The sequence below is a fragment of the Homo sapiens genome, chromosome 1 (assembly GCF_000001405.40).
Source record: "Homo sapiens chromosome 1, GRCh38.p14 Primary Assembly".
NCBI classification, from domain to species: Eukaryota; Metazoa; Chordata; class Mammalia; order Primates; family Hominidae; genus Homo; species Homo sapiens.
The window spans coordinates 61,712,906-61,737,695 of record NC_000001.11 but is presented as its reverse complement, the minus strand read 5'-3'; the positions used below and the strand labels follow the sequence as shown (position 1 = coordinate 61,737,695).

At 42.6% G+C, this 24,790-nt stretch overlaps 1 protein-coding gene across 8 annotated transcripts in view, besides 5 other annotated features; it reads left to right on the top strand.

The window, feature by feature from the left end:
• Positions 11,880 to 12,565: an enhancer, noted in NCBI's record as "H3K27ac hESC enhancer chr1:62190803-62191488 (GRCh37/hg19 assembly coordinates)". NCBI's record gives its function as "activates a minimal SCP1, AML or CMV promoter by ChIP-STARR-seq in naive and primed H9 embryonic stem cells {active_cell/tissue: H9 hESC(naive and primed)}" and the evidence as "EXISTENCE:reporter gene assay evidence [ECO:0000049][PMID:30033119]".
• Positions 11,880 to 13,253: a biological region, named in NCBI's record as "MED14-independent group 3 enhancer GRCh37_chr1:62190259-62191458".
• Positions 11,910 to 13,109: an enhancer, noted in NCBI's record as "MED14-independent group 3 enhancer chr1:62190259-62191458 (GRCh37/hg19 assembly coordinates)". NCBI's record gives its function as "activates an origin of replication core promoter dependent on BRD2, BRD4, P300/CBP and CDK7 cofactors, and independent of MED14, by STARR-seq in HCT116 cells {active_cell/tissue: HCT116}" and the evidence as "EXISTENCE:reporter gene assay evidence [ECO:0000049][PMID:35650434]".
• Positions 12,214 to 12,873: an enhancer, noted in NCBI's record as "active region_1114". NCBI's record gives its function as "activates an Ori minimal core promoter by ATAC-STARR-seq in GM12878 lymphoblastoid cells {active_cell/tissue: GM12878}" and the evidence as "EXISTENCE:reporter gene assay evidence [ECO:0000049][PMID:35858748]".
• Positions 12,555 to 24,790, top strand: part of TM2D1 (TM2 domain containing 1) — a 44,096-nt gene continuing 31,860 nt past the window's right edge. For 4 of the 8 annotated variants that reach the window (XR_007064044.1, XM_047431744.1, XM_047431745.1 and 1 more), the window contains exons 1-3: positions 12,555 to 12,776; positions 13,267 to 13,408; positions 13,924 to 13,983. Coding sequence is in view for 4 of the 8 variants with exons in the window: in XM_047431744.1 (XP_047287700.1) it covers positions 12,576 to 12,776; positions 13,267 to 13,408; positions 13,924 to 13,983 (403 nt within the window). In the remaining 4 variants the exon portion in view is untranslated. Of the gene's footprint in view, positions 12,777 to 13,266; positions 13,409 to 13,909; positions 13,984 to 24,790 lie in introns of all 8 variants that reach the window. The other 4 variants (NR_135161.2, NR_135160.2, NM_032027.3 and 1 more) reach the window with 2 other exon arrangements.
• Positions 12,566 to 13,253: an enhancer, noted in NCBI's record as "H3K27ac hESC enhancer chr1:62190115-62190802 (GRCh37/hg19 assembly coordinates)". NCBI's record gives its function as "activates a minimal SCP1, AML or CMV promoter by ChIP-STARR-seq in naive H9 embryonic stem cells {active_cell/tissue: H9 hESC(naive)}" and the evidence as "EXISTENCE:reporter gene assay evidence [ECO:0000049][PMID:30033119]".

The window sequence follows — 24,790 nt, the reverse complement described above, 5'->3', positions numbered from 1 at the left end:
AGTCGGAGATTGCAGTGACCCGAGATCATACCACTGCACTCTAGCCTGGGTGACACAGCGAGACTGCGTCTCAAAAAAACAAAACAAAACAAAACAAACAACAATAACAACAAAAAACAAAGAATGTCTTTAAAAAAAAAATAGAGATGAGGTCTCACTATGTTATCCAGGCTGGACTTGAACTGCTGGGCTCAAGTGATCCTCCAACCTCAGCCTCCCAAAGTGCTGAGATTATAGGCATGAGCCACCATGCCCAGCCCAAGATTGTCTTGTTCACAGAATGATGAAGAAAGATGAATTTTTAAAAGTATAAGCTCTTGTCAACCTAAAACTACAACAGAGAGAGATAATCCAAAGACAAAGAATTTGTCAACTAAAAAAAAAAAATCAAGCTTTTAAAGAATTAAAGTTCGTTTTATTCAGAAGTCTTGGGGAGTGGGACACACTGGCTCATGCCTGAAATCCGAGCCCTTTGGGAGGTCAAGGCAGGAGGACTGCTTGAGGCCAGGAGTTTGAGATCAGCCTGGGCAACATATCGAGACCCTGTCTCTACAAAAAATGGAAAAAAAAAAGAAAAGCCCAGTTTGGTGGTTTATGCTTATAGTTCCAGCTACTCAGGAGGATCCCTTGAGCCTAGGATTTGCAGGCTGCAGCAAGCTATGGTTGCCACTACACACCACAGCCTGGGGGACAGAGTGAGACCCTATCTCTACTTGTCTTTTAAAAACTAAAAAGTTATAAAGTTATGGCCAGGCGCGGTGGCTCACACCTGTAATCCTAGCACTTTGGGAGGCTGAGGCAGGTGGATCAACTGAGGTCAGGTGTTCAAAATCAGCCTGGCCAACATGGCGAAACCCTGTCCCTACTAAAAAAAAAAAAAAAAAAAAAATACAAAAATTAGTCAGAAGTGTTGGCAGGTGCCTATAATCCCAGCTACTCAGGAAGCTGAGGCAAGAGAATTGCTTGAACCTGGGAGGAGGGTTGCAGTGAGCTGAGATCATGCCACTGTACTCCAGCCTGGGTGATACAGACTCTGTCTCAAAAAAAAAAAAAAAAAAAAAAAAAAAAAAAAAACAACAACAACAAAGAAAAACAGTTATATTGAGGACTGTAGACAGAGGCCTACAGAAGACCAGGAACAGTTCCTCTGAAAGGTGCTGTCAGACTGGTCTGACACAGTATTATAGCCCACTGCTTATATACAGGTGTAGGAGGTTCAGTACATGCAAAACCACATCAAAGTTGCTCAGAAGTTACATTAAAGCAGAATCACACCAAGGTTTGAATATAAAAGTACATCTAGTTATAGATTACAGAGGCATAATCGCTAACCCCATCAGATGTGGTCTTATGTGTAAGAAAGACAAGGGTCATTTATCTTTTTTTTTTTTTTGAGATGGAATCTTGCTCTGTCACCCCGGCTGGAGTGCAGTGATGCGATCTTGGCTCACTGTAACCTCTGCCTCCCGGGTTCAAGCAATTCTCCTGCCTCAGCCTCCTGAGTAGCTGGGATTACAGGCACATGCCAAAATGCCCAGCTAATTTTTTTTGTATTTTCAGTAGAGACGGGGTTTCACCATGTTGGCCAGGCTGGTCTTGAACTCCTGACCTCAAATGATCCACCCGCCTCAGCATCCCAAATTGGTGGGATTACAGGCACGAGCCACCATGCCCTGTGGGTCATTTATCTTTTAAGGAATATAGTGACTCAGGCAAGAGATGTGGCGGGCCGTGTGCTCTATCCTGTTTTGTCTTCAAAGCACTTTTCCAAAGAGCTGTAGTCATCACAGAATCAGAAATTATGAAATTTTGCTTTGTGAAATTATGCTGGCAAGCAGAAATAAGCAACAATGACTTCTTACATTTGCTACTTGGTCTCACAAAGTTATTTGGGAATAAGTAGAAACATTGCAATGGGAAATGTGTGTGCCATGGCAACAATGGGCACATTTGGGGAGGTTGAGGTAGGGGGAAGCTTTTAAAGGCAAAAGAAGTACAGAAGTACAAGTAAGTTGTTTTGAAACAAAGGCAACATTGGTTACACAGGCTTATTTCAAATCACTTCTTTTGTTTGTTTGTTTGTTTGTTTGAGACAGAGTCTCTCTCTGTCACCCAGGCTGGGGTGCAGTGGAGTGATCTCGGCTCACTGCAACCTCTGCCCCCCGGGTTCCAGCGATTCTCCTGCCTCAGCCTCCCGAGTAGCTGGGTTACAGGCACCCAAAAGCAAGCCCAGCTAATTTTTGTATTTTTAGTAGAGACAGGGTTTCGCCATGTCGGCCAGGCTGGTCTCAAACTCCTGACCTCAGGTGATCCACCCACCTTGGCCTCCCAGAGTGCTAGGATTATAGACAAGAGCCACTGTGCCGGCCTTAAGCCACTTCTTTAGGAGAAACAGTGTATGGGGCAAGTGTTATATTTCTGGCTAACTGTCCTTATGCCTCATGTAGCCCTTGGCAGAAGTTCTTGTTACAGGCATATAAAAGGGCCACAGAGAGAGTCTTTCTTTGTAATATATATATATTTTTTGACAGGGTTTTACTCCCATAGCTCAGGCTGGAGTGCAATGGCGTGATGTTGGCTCACTGCAACCTCTGCTTCCTGGGCTCAAGTGATTCTCCAGGCATGTGCCACCGCACCCGGCTGATAACCTCATCTTGATACTGATATTTTTTATTCTCTGAAACCAGAAGATATGAGCTTGACTCTTGACTCCTCCATTTCCTAAAATAAAACCTTGCCAAGTTACTTAACCTTTCTAATTCTCATTAGTGAAACTGCAGTGCTCACTTAATGTGGTAGTTTTGAAGGTTAAATGAAGGAATACATGTATTACACATACCAGGCACATAGAAAGTACTCAATAAGGCCGGGTGCAGTGGCTTACGCCTGTAATCCCAGAACTTTGGGAGGCCAAGATGGGTGGATCACCTGAGGTCAGGAGTTTGAGACCAGCCTGGCCAACATGGTGTAACCCTGTCCCTACTAAAAATACAAAAATTAGCTGGGTGTGGTGGAGGGCGCCTGTAATCCCAGCTATTTAGGAGGCTGGGGCAGGAGAATCGCTTCAACCTGGGAGACGGAGGTGATCACACCATTGCACTCCAGCCAGGGTGATGAGAGCAAAACTCCGACTCAAAAAAAAAAAAGAAAGAAAGAAAGAAAAGAAAGTACTCAATAAATGAAGCAGCACATACATGGGAACAAGTATGACAGATACTGGTGACCTCAAGGAGAAAGCCAAAACTAGTAGTAAATAAAGTGAGGCCACAGCAGACGGAGGACTTGAAAACACCACAAAGAACCTTAGGTTATAAGAGTTTATCTTTCATCTCTAAGAAATTAAAGAACCACCAAAATTTTTTGAATAGGATTTTGAATACAATTTTGAAGATGGTATAGGAGTTTCAGCTACTCAGAAGGCTGAGGCAGGAGGATTACTTGAGCCCAGGAGGACAAGGCTACAGTGAGCTGCATTGGCATCACTGTACTTCAGCCTGGGTGAGAGAGCAACACACTGTCTCAAGAAAAATTTTAAAATATTAAAAAGGTACAGGTTATTTTAAAAAATAAAATATTCATCTGGAAGAAGTGTGCAAAATGGATTGACAAAGTTGGGGAAAGGGCCTAGAATAAAATAGAGGAACTAAGAGGTCACTATAGCAAGGTATACAGGAAATGATGAATGCCTGAAATAGAGTGAAAAACGTGTGATTAAATAAAAGAAGGAACACTTACAGATATCAGTTGTTTACTGATTAAAGGTATTAAAGGAGAACAAGGGGAAAACTGAAGGGTAAATATGATTCCAAGTTTTGAATCTGATAAAAGGGACATTGGTTGTGAAATTGAGAAAAGCCAATTTATTTTGTTTTGTCCTTTTTTTTTTTTTTTTTTTGAGAAGCAGGACTTTGATAAGTCAGTTTTAGGTCCTCCATTTGACATTCAAGATAAAATGTACTTGGCATATAAAGGCCTTATTAAGTGATGAATCAAAGTTAATTTAATTTTTGATGGTAGGCAGTTAAGTTAGATTAGCGCACCGGAGGGAGGACACAATCACAAATACTGGGGAGTCAAATTTCAAATGTTGTGCAGAAGGGTATAATAAAGATCTAGCAGAGCCCTAAACTTACAAATTTATCACCAGAGAAAAAGATCACAGCCACAGCACATCAAGCACATCACAGTCAAATAAAAAAGAAAGGTTTGGCCAGGCATGGTGGCTCACACCTGTAATCCCAGCACTTTGGGAGGCCAAGGCGGGTGGATCACGAGGTCAGGAGTTCAAGACCAGCCTGGCCAAGATGGTAAAAAAAAAAAAAAAAAAAAAAAATTAGCCAGGCGCGGTGGCAGGCACCTGTAATCCCAGCTACTCAGGAGGCTGAGGCAGGAGAATCACTTAAACTCGGAGGGCGGAGGTTGCAGTGAGCCGAGACCATGACACTGCACTCCAGCCTGGGCGACAGAGTGAGACTCTGTCTCAAAAAAACAAACAAACAAACAAAAAAAAAAAATTAGCTGGGTGCGGTGGCAGGTGCCTGTAATCCTAGCTACTTGGGAGGCTGAGGCAGGGAGAATTGCTTGAACCTGGCAGGTGGAGGTTGCAGTGAGCCCATATCGCACCACTGCACTCCAGCCTGGGTGACAGAGTAAGACTCTGTCTCAAAAAAAAAAAAAAAAAAATTTGAGAGGAAGAATCTTTTACTTAACGTTTCTGTCCTAACTGTGAAAACAGAAGTTAGGTTGGTTCCCTCAGAAAGTTTTGCTACAGTGCAGAACTATCTGTTAATGTAATCAGTTGCATGTGAAAACCTTAAGAATGAGAAGATCCAATGTATAAAGATCCAAGGTAAGAGGCCTTGAATCCCACAGGAAGCTACGTTTCAGGCTTCACTTGTAATCCTTTTTCCTTATGTTTCTGCACAACAATTTCCACCTTGGTTTGTACTATTTATGTCCTTTGCTTTCTATACAATTCTATAGAATTTTTATGTGACAAAGAAATTAGGCATTGTAAAGATTGAGATTTAAGTTCTTACTAAATTTAGAAGATGCATTGATCATGTGATCAGAGACTGTGTTTGCAAAGAAATAAAGTAATATATTTTACTGAGCCATGAGAAAATAGATTAAGGGGCAGTAAGAAGCGACAGTTTTTTTGTGTTTTTTTGTTTTTTTTCAACATATCATCAGTTCAAGAGTCAAAAATTTTGTGTCGTTTCTTTACTTTCATGGGGAAACATTCTTGTTCTTTTTAGTTTTACATACTGTAGAAGAGTATAAATATAATCATATATAATGGGATTAATCAGTAAAGAGGGCTGGGCACAGTGCCAGCACTTTGGGAGGCCAAGGCGAGTGGATCGCCTGAGGTCAGGAGTTGGAGAGCAGCCTGGCCAACATGGAGAACCCAAAACACAAAAATTAGCTGGGAGTGGTGGTGGGTGCCTGTAATCCCAGCTACTCGAGAGGCTGAGGCAGGAGAATCACTTGAACCCGGGAGGCGGAGGTTGCAGTGAGCCGAGATCACACCATTGCACTCCAGCCTGGGTGACAAGAGTGAAACTCCGTCAAAACAACAACAACAACAACAAACCAGCAGAGTAAGCATTTTCAAAGAGTTAAATCAAAATCTATGTGGAAAATGACAAATACAAAGATCAGCAATATTCTTGCAGTCAGCAGAAAAACATCTAATTTTGTCATAATATCAATAAACTCAAACTAGAAAGTTGTATCCTTTAACCCCAACTTTCTTTATTAGATTGTACTTTTAAAATCACTGCTGGGCATGGTGGCTCATGCCTGTAATCCTAGTACTTTGAGACGCTGAGGCAGGAGGATTGCTTGAGCCCAGGAAGTTGAGACCAACCTGGACAACATAGAGAGACCTCATCTCTACAAAAAGTGAAAAATTAGCCAAGCGTGGTGACACAGGCCTCTAGTCCCAGCTACTCAGGAGGCTTAGGCGGAGGGTGGCTTGAGCCTGGGATATCAAGGCTGCAGTGAGCTATGATGGTACCACCACACTCCAGCCTGGATGATAGAGTGAGACCTTGCCTCAAATTAAAAAAAAAAAATCAAACCAGAATATTTTAATTTTTAAAAACTTTAAATAATTTAATTTTTTTCTCCAGAATTCTAGGCTCTACAAACCAGAACATTCTTTTTTTTTTCATCTTACAATTTCATTGCATGCGTTTATTTTTATTATCATTTACTAACTGGTAAATGAATTCATCTCTTCATTTTTATACTTTGTGTCATTTTTTACTGGATATGCCTTTTGTAAGTATCACATAGCAAATTTTATGTAGTCAACAAATATTTAAAGAGCACTCACTATGTTATCAATCACATTTTTGTTTGTTCATTTGTTTGTTTTTGAGACGGAGGCTCGCTCTGTCACCCAGGCCAGAGTGCAGTGGCACAATCTCTGCTCACTGCAACCTCCACCTCCCGGGTTCAAGCGCCAATCACATTTTTAAAAATTATTGTACTTTAAGTTCTGGGATATATGTGCAGAACGTGCAGGTTTGTTACATAGGTATACACGTGCCATGGTGGTTTGCTGCACCCATCAACCTGTCATCTACATTAAGTATTTCTCCTAATGCGCTCCCTCCCCTAGCCCCCCACCCCCTGACAGCCCCAGTGTGTAATGTTCCCCTCCCTGTGTCCATGTGTTCTCATTGTTCAACTCCCACTTGTGAGTGAGAACATGCAGTGTTTGGTTTTCTGTTCCAGTGTTAGTTTGCTGAGAATGATGGTTTCCAGCTTCACCTATGTCCCTGCAAATGACATGAACTCATCCTTTTTTAAGGCTGCATAGTATTCCATGGTGTATATGTGTCACATTTTCTTCATCTAGTCTATCATTGATGGGCATTTGGGTTGGTTCCAAGTCTTTGCTATTGTGAAAAGTGCCACAATAAACATATGTGTGCATGTGTCTTTACAGTAGAATGATTTATAATGCTTTGGGTATATACCCAGTAACGGGATTGCTGGGTCAAATAGTATTTCTGTTTCTAGATCTTTGAGGAATCGCCACTCTGTCTTCCACAATGGTTGAACTAATTTACACTCCCACCAACAGTGTAAAAGCACTCCTATTTCTCCACATCCTCTCCAGCATCTTTTGTTTCCGGACTTTTTAATGATCGCCATTCTAACTGGCGTGAGATGGTATTTCACTGTGGTTTTGATTTGCATTTCTCTAATGACCGGTGATGATGAGCTTTTTTTCATATGTTTGTTGGCCACATAAATATCTTCTTTTAAGAAATGTCTGTTCATACTCTTGGCCCACTTTTTGATGGAGTTGTTTTTTTTCTTGTAAATTTGTTTAAGTTCTTTATAGATTCCAAACCAGAACATTCTAAAAGCATCAAAATGGTAGTCAAAATGCAAAGTTACTGTCTTTTATTACCAGGTAATATGTGTAACAGATATTCTGATCCTTAGTCTTGGATTTCTTAAACAAAAATTATGGGAGGCCATTGTTTCAAACTGAGCTCCTGCACTAGGCCCCCAAATACCAGATCAAACCAAAATGGATTCACTCATGCTAAAAGCCACATGCTCAACTGAAGGTTTAAGGAAGCAGATAGATCCCCAAACAGACCAATTTTTCCTGAAAGCAGGAGATTCCAGTCTACTTGAGTCTCCATAACAAGGAAGTCCCCTCTGCTTTAACCCTTACAAAAAACCCTACAAACCCCTTCTTTTTCTTTTTTCTCCTCCTCCTCTCCCTCCTCCTCCCCACTTTTTTTTTGGAGACAGGGACTTGTGCTATTGCCCAGCCTGGAGTGCAGTGGCACAATCATGGCTCACTGCAGCCTTGAACTCCTGGGCTCACCTGATTCTCCAGGCTCAGCCTCTTTAGTAGCTAGGACTAGAGGCATGCCCAGGCAATTTTTTGCTTTTTGTAGAGATGGAGTCTATGCTGTCCAGGCTGGTCTTAGAACTCAAACTCCTGGACTCAAGTGATCCTTCCACATTGGGCTCCCGAAGTGTTGGGGAGCCACCATGCCCAGCCTCCAACCGCGAATTTTTCTGTTGCTGTTTCTTTGTTCCCACCTTACAAAACCCAGTGTTTTATTATTGCCCAGCGGGAGTTTTCTTTCTAGTGTATAGAATGAAGGCTGCCCCACTCCTTGAATTGTGACTAAAAGTTAATTAGATATATAACTGAATTTGTTGTAATTTTGCCTTTGACAGATTTTTTTTTTTTTTTTTGAGAAGAGTTTTGCTCTTGTTGCCCAGGCTGGAGTGCAATGGTGTGATCTTGGCTCACCGCAACCTCCACCTACCGGGTTCAACAATTCTCCTGCCGCAGCCTCCTGAGTAGCCGGGGCTACAGGCACGCTCCATCATGCCTGGCTAATTTTTGAATTTTTAGTAGAGACGGGGTTTCTCCATGTTGCTCAGGCTGGTCTCTATCTCCTGGCCTCAGGTGATCCGCCTGCCTCAGCCTCCCAAAGTGCTGGGATTACAGGCGTGAGATACCGTGCCTGGCCAGATTTTACCTAATCCTTGCCTCGTAACCATGTCATAAATTTCATCTCAGAATAGGGCTGAGGGATGGTGTTGAGCTGTATATTGTACATTTGATTAGCTTTTCTGTTTGGTTTTTGTGTTTTTTTTTTTTTGTCTTTGTTGTTGTTTGCTTGTTTTTGAGACGGAGTCTCGCTCCGTCGCCCAGGCTGGAGTGCAGTGGCATGATCTCGGCTCACTGCAACCTCTGCCTCCTGGGTTCAAGCGATTCTCCTGCCTCAGCGTCCCGAGTAGCTGGGACTACAGGCGCCCACCACCATGCCCAGCTAATTTTTGCACTTTTTTTTTTTTTTACTCCAGACGGGGTTTCACCATATTGGCCAGGCTGGTCTCGAACTCCTGACGTTGTGATCCACTCACCTCGGCCTCCCAAAGTGCTAGGATTACAGACATGAGCCACTGCACCCGGCCGGTTTTTGTTTTTTAAATTCAAGGTTTTTTTGTTTTTTTATCTGTTTTTTTGAGACGGAATTTAGCTCGTTACCCAGGCTGGAGTGCAATGGCAGACCTGGGTTCACAGCAACCTCTGCCTCCCGGGTTCAAGCGATTCTCCTGCCTCAGCCTCCAGAGTAGCTGGGACTACAGGCGCCCTCTCCACGCAGGGCTAATTTTTGTTTTAGTAGAGACAGAGTTTCACCACGTTAGCCAGGATGGTCTTGATCTCCTGACCTCAGGTTATCTGCCTGCCTCGGCCTCCCAAAGTGCTGGGATTACAGGCTGAGTGACCACGCCTGGCCTAAGTAAAAGTTTAAAGGTTCGTTTTCTAGGCTATACACTGCAACCTCCGCCTCCCGGGTTCAAGTGATTCTCCTACCTCAGCCTCTGGAGTAGCTGGGACTATAGGCGCGTCCCACCACGCCGGGCTAATTGTTTGTATTTTTAGCAGAGTCAGGGTTTCACCGTGTTAGCCAGGATGGTCTTGATCTCCTGACATCACGATCCGCCCACCTTGGTTTCCCAAAGTGCTGGGAATACAAGTGTGAGCCACTGCGCCCAGCCCTAGGCTATACCTTTTTAAGCAGTCATGTATCCTACAAAAATATAGCGTTTCAACTACTATTTTGGGAGAATCTTTTTTAAATGTTTCTTTTTCTTTTCTTTTTTTTGTTCAAGCCATCTGCCTTCCTTGGCCTTCCAAAGTGCTAGGATTACAGGCTTGAGCCACCACGCCAGGCACAGGAGGAATATCTTAAGCAAACCCATTGTCCTACTACAGTAGCTAGTATGTGCTTCTAATGTAACAATTATCAAACACTTATCAAATAGTATTTAACTGTTTGTATTTTCCCTTACCAAACAGGAAGTGCTTACCTGCAGGGTTTTTGTCTAAATTTTTGAGTCTAGGGTCTAGCTTCATGCTGAGTACATAGTAAATGCTCAATTAAAAACAATTTTTTTTTCCTTTTTGGAGGGAGAGGGAGGACGGAAAAAAAGGAAAGAAAGGAAAAACGAAGGAAGAAAAAAGAGAGAAGGAAGAAGTCCATTTAGAATAGGAAGTTTATAACTGAACTACTAAATTTTTCACTTAAATCATTTAAACCTGATTTAAAGCATAAATATTATGTATAAATGTCTTAAATTAAAAATAGCGGCGGGGCGCGGTGGCTCACGCCTGTATTCCAGCACTTTGGGAAGCCAAGGCGGGCGGATCACGAGGTCAGGAGTTCGAGACTAGCCTGACCAACATGGTGAAATCCTGTCTCTACTAAAAAATACAAAAATTAGCTGCGCGTGGTGGCGTGCGCCTGTAATCCCAGCTACTCAGGAGGCTGAGGCAGGAGAATTGCTTGACCCCGGGAGGCAGAGGTTGCAGTGAGCCAAGATCGTGCCACTGCACTCCAGCCTGGATGACAGAGCGAGACTCCATCTCAAAAAATAGCAGCGGGGCGTGGTGGTTCATGCCTGTAATCCCAGACCTTTGGGAGGCTCAGACGGGTGGATCACCTGAGGTCGGAAGTTGGAGACTAGCCTGATCAACATGGAGAAACCCCGTCTCTACTAAAAATACAAAATTAGCCAGGCGTGGTGACTCATGGCTGTAATTCCAGCTACTCAGGAGGCTGAGGTAGGAGAATAGCTTGAACCTGGGAAGTGGAGTTTGCAGTAAGCGAGAATCGTGCCATTGCACTCCAGCCTGGGCAACAAGAGCAAAACTCCCGTCTCAACTCCATTTCTGTCTCTAAATGAATGAATGAATAAAGCATAGTAATGCTACAAAGTTGTTTTATTATGAAAATTTTAGGGCCAGGCGCCGTGGCTCGCGCCTGTAATCCCAGCACTTTGGGAGGCAGAGGCGGGTGGATCACCTTAAGTCATGAGTTCGAGACCAGCCTGCTCAACATGGTGAAACCTCGTCTCTACTAAAAATACAAAAATTAGCTGGGCTGGTAGTGGGCGCCGTAATCCCAGCCTTTCCGGATGCTGAGACAGGAGAATAGCTTGAACCTGGGAGGCGGAGGTTGCAGTGAGCCGAGATCATGCCATTGCAGTCCAGCCTGGGCAACAACAGTGAAACTCCACCTCAAAAAAAGAAAATTTAAAAACGTAGTTTATGTTTAAATATTACTTCAAATAGTTGTATGTCTTCCAGAATATATATTCCAAAATGAGGCCAGGCACAGTGTGGCCTCACACCTGAAATCCCAGCACTTTAGGAGGCAGAGGCGGGCAGATCACTTAGGCCAGGAGTTCGAGACCAGCCTGGCCAAAATGGTGAAACCCTGTCTTTACTAAAAATACAAAAATTAGCTGAGCGTGGTGGCGCACGCGTGCAGTCCCAGCTACTCAGGAGGTTGAGGCAGGCGAATCACTTGAACCAGAAGGCAGAGGTTGCAGTGAGCTGAGATTCTGCCACTGTACTCCAGCCTGGGTGGCAGAGAGAGATTCCATCTTAAAAAAAAAAATTTACTTCTCGTAAAACATTATACCAGTGTTCTCAAAGTGGGGGTCCCTGGACTAGCAACACCCACATCCCTTGGGATCTCCTAGAAATGGAAATTATCCAGTCCCTCCCTACATCTTTTGTATCAGAAACTCTGAGTGCCGGTTCTATCATTCTGTTTTAATAACTACTACAGGTGATTCAGATGCTATTCAAAGTTTGAGAACCACCAAAGTTAGTGCTAAAGTATGGATGAAGAAGCACCACTCAAGTTCAAATTTTTATATTGTTAGACAAAAAAAAGATTAAACTTAACTTTACGAAAACATTTTTTCCTCACTGTTAAAGTTCCCCACCACAGAACTTTTAGAACATATAGAAATTTAAAAACAACAGATGGAGGAAAAAAAATCTTCAACTTTTCACTTAATCATAAACTATTTGGTTTCCTCTTGTTACAGTTTCCACCCCCCAAATTATCCCCCACCTAAATTGTCACTTTTTTTTTTTAAAAGGCGTAATGTCTCTCACAGTTTTTAAGTTCTGTTCGTGGCAGCCTTCCAAAATCCTTCTCTAAAGTTACAGGAGGACATTATGTCAATTAGTAAGAGCATAGATCTGAAATCTGGCAAACATCAATTTCATTCCGACTGAGTCACTTAGTGATTAAGGTCAGTGTGTTTCAGCGTCTTTGAGCCTTGTTCCTTATCTGTAAACCCAAAACCTATCAGGGCTAACTGCGATGATGTCAGGAAAGCATTGATTCCAACCTCTGACGCCGCTGGCACTTTCAGAGGACCGAGAAGCCTCAGCTAAGGGCGCGGGAATGAGAAGCGGGTGAAGCACCTGATTGCCTAAACCACTCGTTTCCTTCCTCCAGCACTCAAAGATTAACCTTAGCTCCTTCCAAGGGTTCGTGGGGGAAAATTCGCCTCGAGGGACTGGGTACATGCATATTTTAAAAGGGTCTCCCAATGTGATTCCACGGGCTCACGGGCAGAAGAACACGCGAAGAGACGGAACTGGCCTCTATCCTATGCGAGGTCCCTTTAAGAACCTCGCCCTGTTGCCCTTCTCCCTCCCGCTCCTGGGCGGAGGCGGAAGCGGAAGTGGCGAGAAAGTGTCGGTCTCCAAGATGGCGGCCGCCTGGCCGTCTGGTCCGTCTGCTCCGGAGGCCGTGACGGCCAGACTCGTTGGTGTCCTGTGGTTCGTCTCAGTCACTACAGGACCCTGGGGGGCTGTTGCCACCTCCGCCGGGGGCGAGGAGTCGCTTAAGTGCGAGGACCTCAAAGTGGGACAATATCCTCTGTGGAGAACACCCCCCCATGGAGGCGAGGTAGAGTTGGGGTCGCAGGTGGGTCGCTGCCGTCAGGACTGGCTAGGGCTGTACTGAGTGAAAACGATAATCTGATCTGTGGCTTCTAATGACTGAAGGATCCCTGAAGGTGAACAGAGTTGTGGAGATGGGAGGGCCAGAGGCCACCCTTTGTGATTTCCTTATGATTTTACTAGTCATTGGCGCTTCCTCTTCTGATCCACTTTTTTTTTCTTTTTTATCAGTGTGCTTACTTGTTCAGTAAAACATGTAGATCCTGAAGTATGCCAGGCCCCGTTCTAGACACTAGTAATACAAAGATGGATAGTCTCTTACCCTGGAAATGTTTGCCAACTCTTCCTAGGGGGAAGACAAGTAATAACGATCTAGCCAATGTGTTGCCCATTTATCATTAACTTTATGTATATTATGCATATTACCTCATGTCATCTTCAAACTTCATGAGATGGTAGACTGCCAGACAAATTTCTTTCTGTTTTCTTTTTTTGAGACAGGGTCTTACTCTGTCGCCCTGGCTGGAGTACAGTGGCACGATCTCAGCTCACTGCAGCCTCCGCCTCCCGGGTTCAGTCAATTCTCCTGCCTCAGCCTCCTGAGTAGCTGGGACTACAGGCATGCGCCACCACACCCGGGTAATTTTTGTATTTTTAGTAGAGACGGGGTTTACGCCATGTTGGCCAGGCTGGTCTTGAACTCCTGGTCTCAAGCGATCCGCATCCCCCTCACCATGAACCACCGCGTGGGGACTCAGTGGATAAATTTCTGTTGCACTTTGCAACCTTGGGTGACCTATTTGAACTCTGTTTTCTCATGAGTAAAAACGTGGATAATTATGGGGCAAATTTAAAGGTTTATTGTAATGTTTATGTATTATTATATTATTTGTAGAGACAGACTTCTCGTTATGTTGCCCAGGCTGTTCTTCCCAAACTCCTGGGCTCCAGTGATCCTCCTGCCTCAAGTATTACTTAGCAATACTAAAAGTATATTTGTACATATGCTTATTGACTTGGACAAACTAGCAGCCTCTATTTACATGTGAATATCAACATGAGTATATAATATGAATAGTAAAGGCATGATAATGTGTTGTGTTGGAATGTAGTCCGTATTTCCTTAACTTTTTTTTTTACATATATTTGTAAAGATCCAAAAATAAATGACGCTACGCAAGAACCAGTTAACTGTACAAACTACACAGCTCATGGTAAGACTTCAAGAAACATGTCTTTAAAAATAATTTTAAAAACATTATTTCATAGGTCAATGTATGATCACTAAAGGCAATTAATAAATGCATTTTTTCTAAATGATAACATTATTATTCAGTTTCCAGAGTAACTTAAAACTGGAGAACTACCTAGAGGTTGTCAGTATTTAATTTAAAAAAGAATCTTACTTGTTCTGAAATGGTGAAATTTCACCATATAAACAATAATAGGGCTGGACGTGGATGTTCCCAGATTCAGTTAGGCAAGTGTACTTATATTTTATATACTTTATTTTCCCCAAATTAATAAGCATATCATTCCCTCACATGGAAAGTCTTCCTTTTATTTTCCTTTAGCTCTCCACTTATATCATCTATGAATACTTACCTGATAGTTCTTGGCTAGTGCCATAATACCTACAAGTCCTTTCTGCTTCCCAGCAACTTCATCACTATCGTTTATGTCACTTTGATAAATGTCATTTCTATTACTTTGATTATATTACTTTGGTTTATATTTGATTATATTTATTTGATTTGGGGTATGTGTTTATGTGTGTGTATTTAACATTCAGTTGGCACCAAAATGATTTTTTACATGTTTATGAATTTATTTATCAATAATTCTTAAGTGGATTCAACATTTTATTCCAGAGGACACCTAACTGGAGGGCAGGAGGGCAGACTTCTTTTGGGATAGAAATTCTTTTTAGTTGTGTCATTTCCTTTGAAATCTCCATATATACAAAACAACCCTCTAGGCGAGAAAAATACTTTTTTTATTTTTATTTTTGAGACAGCTGGCTGCCAGCTTCCCAGTATGAAGTGAGATGCTTGAGTTACACTAGTATTCACAGATTTCTAGCATCTTTCATATGAATGATTGAAACAACTATTTGAGAACTAACTCTTCTTTATGTGTAACTCTATTCTGTATTCTGAAAACTATGATATAAACAACTTCAAAGTGTAAAACAGGCAAATCAAAGGATATTTATAAGTTAACTACAAAGGAAAGGATTACTTACAAAGTTCCTTTAAATGGCCAGGCATGGTGGCTCACACCTGTAATCCGAGCACTTTGGGAGGCCAAGGCGGGTGGATCACGAGGTCAGGAGTTCAACACCAGCCTGGCCAACATGGTGAAACCCCGTCTCTACTAAAAGTAGAAAAATTAGCCAGGTGCAGTGATGGGCACCTGTAATCCCAGCTACTCGGGAGGCTGAGGCAGGATAATTGCTTGAACCTGGGAGGCAGAGGTTACAGTGAGCCGAGATCGCGCCATTGCACTCTGGCCTGGGTGACAGAGCAAGACTCTGTCTCTGGGGCGGAAAAAGTTTCTTTAAGCGTAATATATCTAAATAAAATAAATGTATACATACTAAGCAATATCTCCTCTATAAGGCATATATTATTACTTTTCTTTCTGGGTGTCTCATTATGTCACCCAGGCTGGAGTGCAGTGGTGCCATCTCAGTTCACTGCAACCTCCACCTCCCAGGATCAAGTGATCCTCCCACCTCGGCCTCTGGAGTAGCTGGGACTACAGGTGTGCGTCACCACGCCCAGCTAATTTATTTTATTTTATTTTTGTATTTTTGGTAGAGACAAGGTTTCGTCATGTTGCCCAGGCTGGTCTCAAACTCTTGGGTTCAAGCAATCTGCCTGCCTGGGCCTCCCAAAAAAAGTGCTGGGTTTACAGGCATGAACCACCAGGACTGGCTCCCTGACTTTTTTTTTTTTTTTTTTTTTTTTTTTAGCTGTAGAGATGAGGGTCTCCCTATATTGTCCAGCCTCGTCTTGAACTCATAGGCTCAAGCAGTTCTCTTGCTTTGGTCTCCTAAAGTGGTGGGATGACAGGCATGAGCCACTGTGCCTGGCTAATTGCCTTTTTTAAAACACACAAAAGCTCATGGACTAACTATGGTGAATCAATTCTAACTCCTGATCAGAGACAGATATCAAAATAGCTCATGAAACATGCTTTTTGGTTCTAACATAGGAGAAAAATATTAAGAGTTGTGAAAAGTGTGAGTTAAGTGATCTCTCTCATTCTTCCAGCCAAAATTATTTTTCCTTTGTTTTTTTCACTGAGTATATGAAGAACTATTGTGAAATTCTCAAACTATGTTTACTTTTCTTTTTCTTTTTTCTTTTTTTTTTTTTTTGAGACAGAGTCTCACTCTGTCGCTCAGGCTGGAGTGCAGTGGCGCAATCTCAGCTCATTGCAACCTCTGCCTCCCGGATTCAAGTGATTCTCCTGCCTCAGCCTCCCAAGTAGCTGGGATTATAGGCGTGCACCACCATGCCCAGCTAATCTTTGTATTTTTAGTAGAGGCAGGGTTTCGCCGTATTGGCCAGGTTGGTCTTGAAGTCCTGACCTCAGGTGATCCACCTGCCTCGTCCTCCCAAAGTGCTGGGATTATAGGTGTGAGCCACTGAGCCCAGCCTAATTTTCTTCTTTCTTTTTCTTTTTTTTAAGACAGGATCTCACTCTGTCACCCAGGCTAGACTGCAGTGGCACCGTCTTAGCTCACTGCAACCTCCACCTCCCAGGCTCAGGAGATCCTCCCACCTCAGCCTCTTGAGTAGCTGGGACTACAGGTACATGCCACTACACCTGGCTAATTTTTTGTATTTTTTTGGAGGGGTGAGTAGCGATGGGATGTACCATGTTGCCTAGGCTGGTCTGGAACTCCTGGGCTCAAGCGATCCACCTGCTTGGCTTTCCAAAGTGCTGGGATTACAGACATGAGCCACCACACCTGGCTGTTCAATTTTCATAAACTAATGTTTGGGTAGGGATGAACGTGAGCAGTGTTTTACAGAGGGGAGTTTGGGGCTAGTGAGTAGGAATTGGGACAAAAGGCAAAGGAAATTCATCTATGACAATAAATTGATGTGATCTTAAAATGGTTCTTGGTTAGCTCAGTATCATTCAATAAGTGCATTTGTTTATTGAGAAAGTATTTATTGGTAATGAATAATTTAAAACTAAATTTACTTTATTAAGACAATTTATATTACAAAATATTGTTATTGATTGAGAATTTGTTCATTTATTTATATTTATTTATTAAGAAATTATTACGTGGCAGGCATCTGCTTGGTGGTATAGGTGATATACAAAAGAAGACATAATCCCTGCCCTCAAGAAGTGTTCTGTCAGCCCGGGTGAGGTGGCTCACACCTATAATCCCATCACTTTGGGAGGCTGAGGTGTGCGGATCATGTGAGGTCAGGAGTTTGAGACCAGTCTGGCAAACATGGCGAAACCCTGTCTCTACTAAAAATAGAAAAATTAGCCAGGCGTAGTGGCACATGCCTGTAGTCCCAGCAACTTGGGAGGCTGAGGCAGGAGACTTGCTTGAACCTGGGAGGCGGAGGTTGCAGTGAGCCGAGGTCACGCCACTGCACTCCAGCCTGGGCGACAGAGCCAGACTCTGTCTAAAAAAAGAAAAAAAAAAAGAAGTGTCCTGTCTGGGTTACATACACATATATCAGCAAGTATTTTCAATTTTTCTATCACTGAAATACAAAAAATATTTAGATTTCACTTCCAGAAAATTTTGCTATGGTCTTTTGACAGAAGTCTTCTTTATTTTCTTAAGTTTGTATTAAAGTATAGTATGTTTACAGAAAAGTGCATCTAAGTATAATTCAGATGATTTTCACAAACGACACACCTGTGAATGCTTCCAGATCAAGAAACAACATTATCAACATGGCAGAAGCCCTCTTCATAGTCTTTTATAGTCACTACTCTGCCTCAGTGGGTAACCACTATTTATTCTAACTTCTGACTGTAAATTAGTGTTGCAAACAGTATATTATTTTTTATCTTTTTATTTGGCGATAGTTTCAAACCTACCGAAAAGTTAGAAGAATAAGAGTAGTATAAAGCACTCCACCCTAGGCTGAGCGTGGTGGCTCATGCCTGTAATCTCAGCACTTGGGGAGGCCGAGGCAGGTGGGTCACCTGAGGTCAGGAGTTCAAGACCAGCCCCACCAACATGGAGAAACCCCGTCTCTACTAAAAAAAATACAAAATTAGCTGGGCGTGCTGACGCATGCCTGTAATCCCAGCTACTTGGGAGGCTGAAGCAGGAGAATTGCTTGAACCCGGGAGGTGGAGGTTGCAGTGAGCCAAGATTGCGCCACTGCACTCTAGCCTGGGCAACAAGAGTGAAACTCCGTCTCAAAACAAACAAAAACAAAAAAACCCACAAAACTCCATCCATATACCCTTTACCCAGATTGACCAATTGTTAACATACTCTCTCTCTCTCTCTCTCTCTCTGTGTATATACTTTTTTCTGCCACTAGAAATACTTTTGTGTTTTTCTGTAGAGATGTTCCAGGTCAGATGTGGTGGCCCATGCCTGTAATCCCAGCACTTTGGGAGGCTTAGGTGGGCAGATCACTTGAACCCAGGAGTTCTAGACCAGCCTGGGCTATGTGGTGAAACCCCGTCTCTACAAAAAACTAGCCAGGCATGGTGACGCACATGTGTAGTCCCAGCTACTTGGGAGGCTGATAACTGAGTCAGAGAGGTGAGGCTGCAGTGAGCCCTGATTGTGTCAGTGCACTCTAGCCTGGGCGACAGAGCAAGACCCTGTCTCCAAAAAATAAATAAATAAAAAATAAAACAAAAAAATGAAAATAGAAATATTTTCTTAACATGCAGTTCAGTTACCAACTTTAGTAAATTTAATTTATTAATACACATGCTTTAATCCATATTCTTATTTTATCAAATGACCCAAATAATGCCTTTTTAGCATTTTCTCCCAGTACAGGATCCTAAAATCAGATTTTACATTTAGTTTTCTTTAAATTGGTGCATTTCCACAACTTTCTTTGTCTTTTATGGCATTGACTTACATGTTTGATGACTACAGCCTCCCTTTATTTTAATAGAATGTTCCTCATTGGGACTGTCTGATATTTCCTTATGATTAGACTTAGGATATACATTCCACGCTGTAAAGTAACATAATTGATGGAGTGTCCTTCCCAACATCTCACATCTGGGGGCATATGATAACTATCTCTTTCTCCTTGGTGATGTTAATTGTTTATCACTTAGCTTTTTCTACTGTATAGTTAGTATTTTTTTCTTTGCAACTATAAATAATCTAAAGGGATGCTCATTAAGGCCATGCAGATATCCCCCTACCACCCCTAGATTTACATCCCATTAATGATTCTGGCCTGAACTATTCTTTTTTTATAGACTGGTCAACACCTCATTCCATAAAATGGAAAAAGTGTTCCTGCAACTATTCTTTATTCTGATAGTTGCAAAATGATTATTTTCCAAACCTAGCACTCTCAGAGGAGAACTCTTTTAATGCCAAAAATATGGAGATGGGATTGGCTCTTGCCAACTTTATTTTTCTCTCTCTTTTTTTTTTTTGGAGATGGGGTCTCACTCTGTCACTCAGGCTGGAGTTTGGTCGCAGGATCTCTGCTCACTCTAACCTCCACCTCCCAGGCTCAAGTGATCCTCCCACCTTAGCCTCACCACGCCCAGCTAATTTTTGCATTTTTTTGTAGAGATGGGGTTTTACGGTGTTGCCCAAGCTGGTTTCTAACTCCTGAGCTCAAGCAATCCACTTGCCTCGGCCTCCGAAAGTGTTGGAATTACAGTTGTGAGCCACCACACCTGGCGTTTTTTGTTGTTGTTTTTGGAGACATGGTCTCGCTGCTTTGTAGCCCAGGCTGAAGTGCAGTGGTGCGATCACGGCTCACTGCAGCCTCCATCTTCAGGACTCAAGCGATCCTCCTGCCTCAGCCACCCAAGTAGCTGGGATTACAGACATGCGCCACCAGTCCCTAAGTATTTTTTGCAGAGTTGCCCAGGCTAAATTTAGTCCTTTTTTTTTTATTGTTATGAAACTTCATTGTCTGATTACATTATTTCTGGTTTAACATTTGTGTATTTGAAAAACATCACTGGTTTCTATACCAGGTGTGGTGGTGGTGTGTGCCTGTAATCCTGGCTATTTGGTAGTCTGAGGCTGGAGGATGTCTTGAGCGCAGGACTTCGAGGCTACAGTGAGCTGTGATCATGCCACTTCACTCCATCTTGGGCAACGGAGTGAAACCCTGTCTCTAAAAAGAAACCAGTCAAACAAAAAAAACCACACTGTTGCTTTTTATAATGAATACTGTGTAGTTATTGGCTGGAATTGATATTATCTAAATCCTAGACATTGGTCAGAACCAAACCTTTTTGCAAGAAAACTGCAAATTGAATAGTTTTCAGGCTTATAGCATGTTGCTTAATTTTGTCTACTAGGTAACATTTACTGATAACTGGCTTCTTTTTTTTTTTTTGAGGCGGAGTCTTGCTCTGTTTCCCAGGCTGGAGTGCAGTGGCACTATCTCGGCTCACTGCAAGCTCTGCCTCCCAGGTTCACGCCATTATCCAGCCTCAGCCTCCCAAGTAGCTGGGACTAGAGGTGCCCGCCACCACGCCCGGCTAATTGTTTTTTTTTTTTTGTTTTGTTTTGTATTTTTAGTAGAGAAGGGGTTTCACCGTGTTAGCCAGGATGGTCTCGATCTCCTGACCTCATGATCCGCTGGCCTCGGCCTCCCAAAGTGCTGGGATTCCAGGCGTGAGCCACTGCACCCGGCCATAACTGGCTTGTTTGATCTTGTCATATTGATTTGTTTATTTTTGCTTATTGCTGAAATCAGTGTTAGCATGGGATAATTATGATATAATGGAAAGAGTATTGATTAAGGGTAATGAGTTTTAGTCTAGGATTTAGAGAGTATTATTTGCTTTTTAGTCAACTCATTTAATTTCTTAGAACCTCAGTTTTCCTGTTTGTGAAAGGAAAGAAAAAGAAATATTGTGAATTTGCTTACTTAACAAGTTCTTCTTTCTTACAAGGATGAAATGAAATCATTATAAAGTATGTCTAAACAAATAAACTCTAGGGTTGTAGGCTTCTTTTGAATTGATTAATTTCATATCATAAAATCTTACGTTATTTTTATAGCCACTCACAATGTTATATTCATTTCTTTTTTAGTCTTCGAAGTGTTGAATTTCTCTGATTTCCTAGAGTGGGGAATCTAACTCTCTTTTTGTGTGTGTGTGTGTATATATATATATAAAATTATATACATATATAAAATTATATACATATATAAAATTATACACATATATAATTATATACATATATAAAATTATATATAATTATATACGTATATAAAATTATATATAATTATATATGTATATAAAATTATATATAATTATACACTTATATATAATTATATACATATATAAAATTATATATGTAATTATATATAAAATTATATAATTATATATAAAATTAAATATGTATATAATATTTGTTGGGGGGTTGGCGGAGAGTAGAGAGAGGCCTTACTCTGTCGCCCAGGCTGTAGTGCAATGGCAGGATCGTAGCTTACTGCAGCCTGGATCTCCTAGGCTCAAGAGATCTTCCTGCCTCAGCTTCCCGAGTAGCTAGGACTACAGGCACATGCCACCATGCCTGGCTAATTTTTTTTTTCTTTAGAGACAGAGTCTCACTATGTTGCCCAGGCTTGTCTTAAATTCCTGGGCTCGGCTGGGCGTGGTGGCTCATGCCTGTAATCCCAGCACTTTGGGAGGCCGAGGCGGGTGGATCACGAGGTCAGGAGATCGAGACCATCCTGGCTAACATGGTGAAACCCCGTCTCTACTAAAAATACAAAAAAAAAATTAGCTGGGCATGGTGGTGGGCACCTGTAGTCCCAGCTACTCGGGAGGCTGAGGCAGGAGAATGGCGTGAACCTGGGAGGTGGAGCTTGCAGTGAGCCGAGATCGCGCCACTGTACTCCAGCCTGGGTGACAGAGCCAGACTCCGTCTCAAAAAAACAAAAAAATAAACAAAAAAACCTCCTGGGCTCAAGCCCCTAAACACTTTTTGAATACCTTTTCTAACCAAGCACCATGCTTTACACAACATATGCTTTTTCTTTTTCTTTTCTTTGCTTTTTTTTCCTTCTTTCTTGTTTTTTTTTTTTTTTTTTTTTTTTTTTTTTGAGACAGTCTTGCTCTGTCACCCAGGCTTTAGTTCAGTGGTGCCATCTCGGCTCACTGCAACCACTGCCTCTCGGGTTCAAGCAATTCTTGTGCCTCAGCCTCTTCAGTAGCTGGGACTACGGATGCAGGTCACCATGCCTGGCTAATTTGTGTATTTTTAGTAGAGACGGGGTTTTACCATGTTGGCCAGGCTGGTCTCGAATTCCTGGACTCAAGTGATCCAAAGTGCTGGGATTAGAGACGTGAGCTACCATGCCCAGCCTGTATGCTTTTTAAATGTATATAACAGGAGTATAAAAGATATGTCCCATGTCACAGATTGGAAACACGATTCAGAGAGGTTTTATTTTTCTTGAAGGAACATGCTAGTTAAGTGACAGGACTTAAATCCAAATCTGTCTAGTTCTAAAGTCCTGCTCTTTGGAGTTCTCGATCTTTTCAAATAAATCATTCTGAGTTTCTCTCATTATTTTCTCATGTCTTCTGTCTACTTATTTGGAGCAACAGTTCATCCTCTTTTCACTCAAGTATATAATTTTCATCCCTTGAAATAAGTAGCTCAAATGTATGTCAAAATTCTTGAATCATTGCAATGTGGTTTTCCCGTCACGATGGTACCTCTTTCCACTATGGTGTCTTTCCTGAGTATCTAATCCTGGAGTGTTGGGCTTTTTTCTCTCTTTCATCTTTTTTATGTTGTATACAAAGCAGCTATTAGAAATGATTAAATATTGAAAACTAAAACTCTCAAAATATGAGATTTTGGACAATTGGTACTATCTAGTTGAAAAATAGATACTGTTGGCTGGGCATGGTGGCTCACACCTTTGGGAGGCCGAAATGGGTGGATTGCTTGAGCCCAGGAGTTTGAGACCAGCTTGGGCAACGTGGTGAAAACCTGTCTCTACAAAAAAATACAAAAATTAGCCAGGCTTGGTGGCACACACCTATAGTACCACCTACTTGGGAGACTGAGGCGGGAGGGTCTCTTAAGCCCAGGGGGTTGAGGCTGCAGTGAGCCGTAATCGTGCCATTGCACTCTAGCCTGGGTGACAAGACCCTGCCACAAAAATAAAGCGAAAGAAAGGGCTCTTTAGTTTTTTTTGGACAGAGTCTTGCTGTGTCACCCAGGCTGGAGTGCAGTGGCGCGACCTCAGCTCACTGAAACCTCCGCTTCCCGGGTCCAAGCAATTTTCCTGCCTCAGCCTCCTGACTAGCTGGGATTACTGGCACAGGCCAGCATGCCCGGCTGATTTTTCTATTTTTAGTAGAGACGGTGTTTTACCATGTTGGCCAGGCTGGTCTTGAACTCCTGACCTGGTGATCCACCCACCTCGGCCTCCCAAAGTGCTGGGATTACAGGTGTGAGCCACTGCGCCCATCCAGGGCTCTTTAGTTTTTAATATTTTTTACCAGGCATTTTCAACTCACCTAGAAATATTTGGTTTTTGGCCGGGCGCGGTGGCTCAGGCCTGTAATCCCAGCACTTTGGGAGGCCGAGGCGGGTGGATCATGAGGTCAGGAGATCGAGACCATCCTGGCTAACAAGGTGAAACCCCGTCTCTACTAAAAATACAAAAAATTAGCCGGGCGCGGTGGCGGGCGCCTGTAGTCCCAGCTACTCGGGAGGCTGAGGCAGGAGAATGGCGTGAACCCGGGAAGCGGAGCTTGCAGTGAGCCGAGATTGCGCCACTGCAGTCCGCAGTCCGGCCTGGGCGACAGAGCGAGACTCCGTCTCAAAAAAAAAAAAAAAAAAAAAAGAAATATTTGGTTTTTAAAAGTTTTGTACAGAAACCTGTCATCTCAAAAAAACAGTGCATTTCTGTTAGGCAAGGTATATTGGAAAATATCCCCAGCTGGTATCATAATAAGTGTCTTGTATTGCAACTGTCTCTTTAAGACCTGATTTTAGATAATCTGCAGGAAGATCTCACAAGGCTGTATGACAAGAAAGTGACAGCTTCAGACTAAGCAAGTGCAAGGTAGATACTTGTAGAGAAAAATGATCTACAATCTAGTAATACTGTGCTTTCTGGCACACTTAATCTACTTACTGGCTTGAGGATATGAAAAGATTTAAAGCTGCTTTTTGAGAAAAAAAACCTGTGTTTATAGATACTTTTGCAGACCCCTCCTTTTTTTTTTTTTTTTTTTTTGTTTTTGAGTTGCGGGGGGTCTTGTCCTCTTACCCAGGCTGGAGTGTAAGTGGCATGATTGTGGCTTACTGCAACCTATGTCTCCCAGGCTCAAGCAATTCTCCTGCCTCAGCCTCCTGAGTAGCTGGGACCACAGGCACATGTCACCACGCCTGGCTAATTTTTTGTATTTTTGATAGAGATGGGTTTCACCATGTTGGCCAGACTGGTCTTGAACTCCTGGCTGCAAGCAATTCACCTGCCTCGGCCTCCCAAAGTGCTGGGATTACAGGCATGAGCCGCTGCACCCGGCCTAGATTCTCAGCTTTTTTTTTTTTTTGAGGTGGAGTCTCATTCTATCTCCCTGGCTGAAGTGCAGTGGCGCAATCTCAACTCACTACAACCTCTGCCTCCTGGGTTCAAGCGATCCTCCTGCCTCAGCCTCCCAAGTAGCTGGGATTTCAGGTGTGTGCCACCACACCCCACTGATTTTTGTCTTTTTAGTAGAGACAGGGTTTCACCATGTTGGTCAGGTGACCTGACCTCAAGTGATCCTCCTGCCTTGGCCTCCCAGAGTGCTGGGATTACAGGCATGAGTCACTGT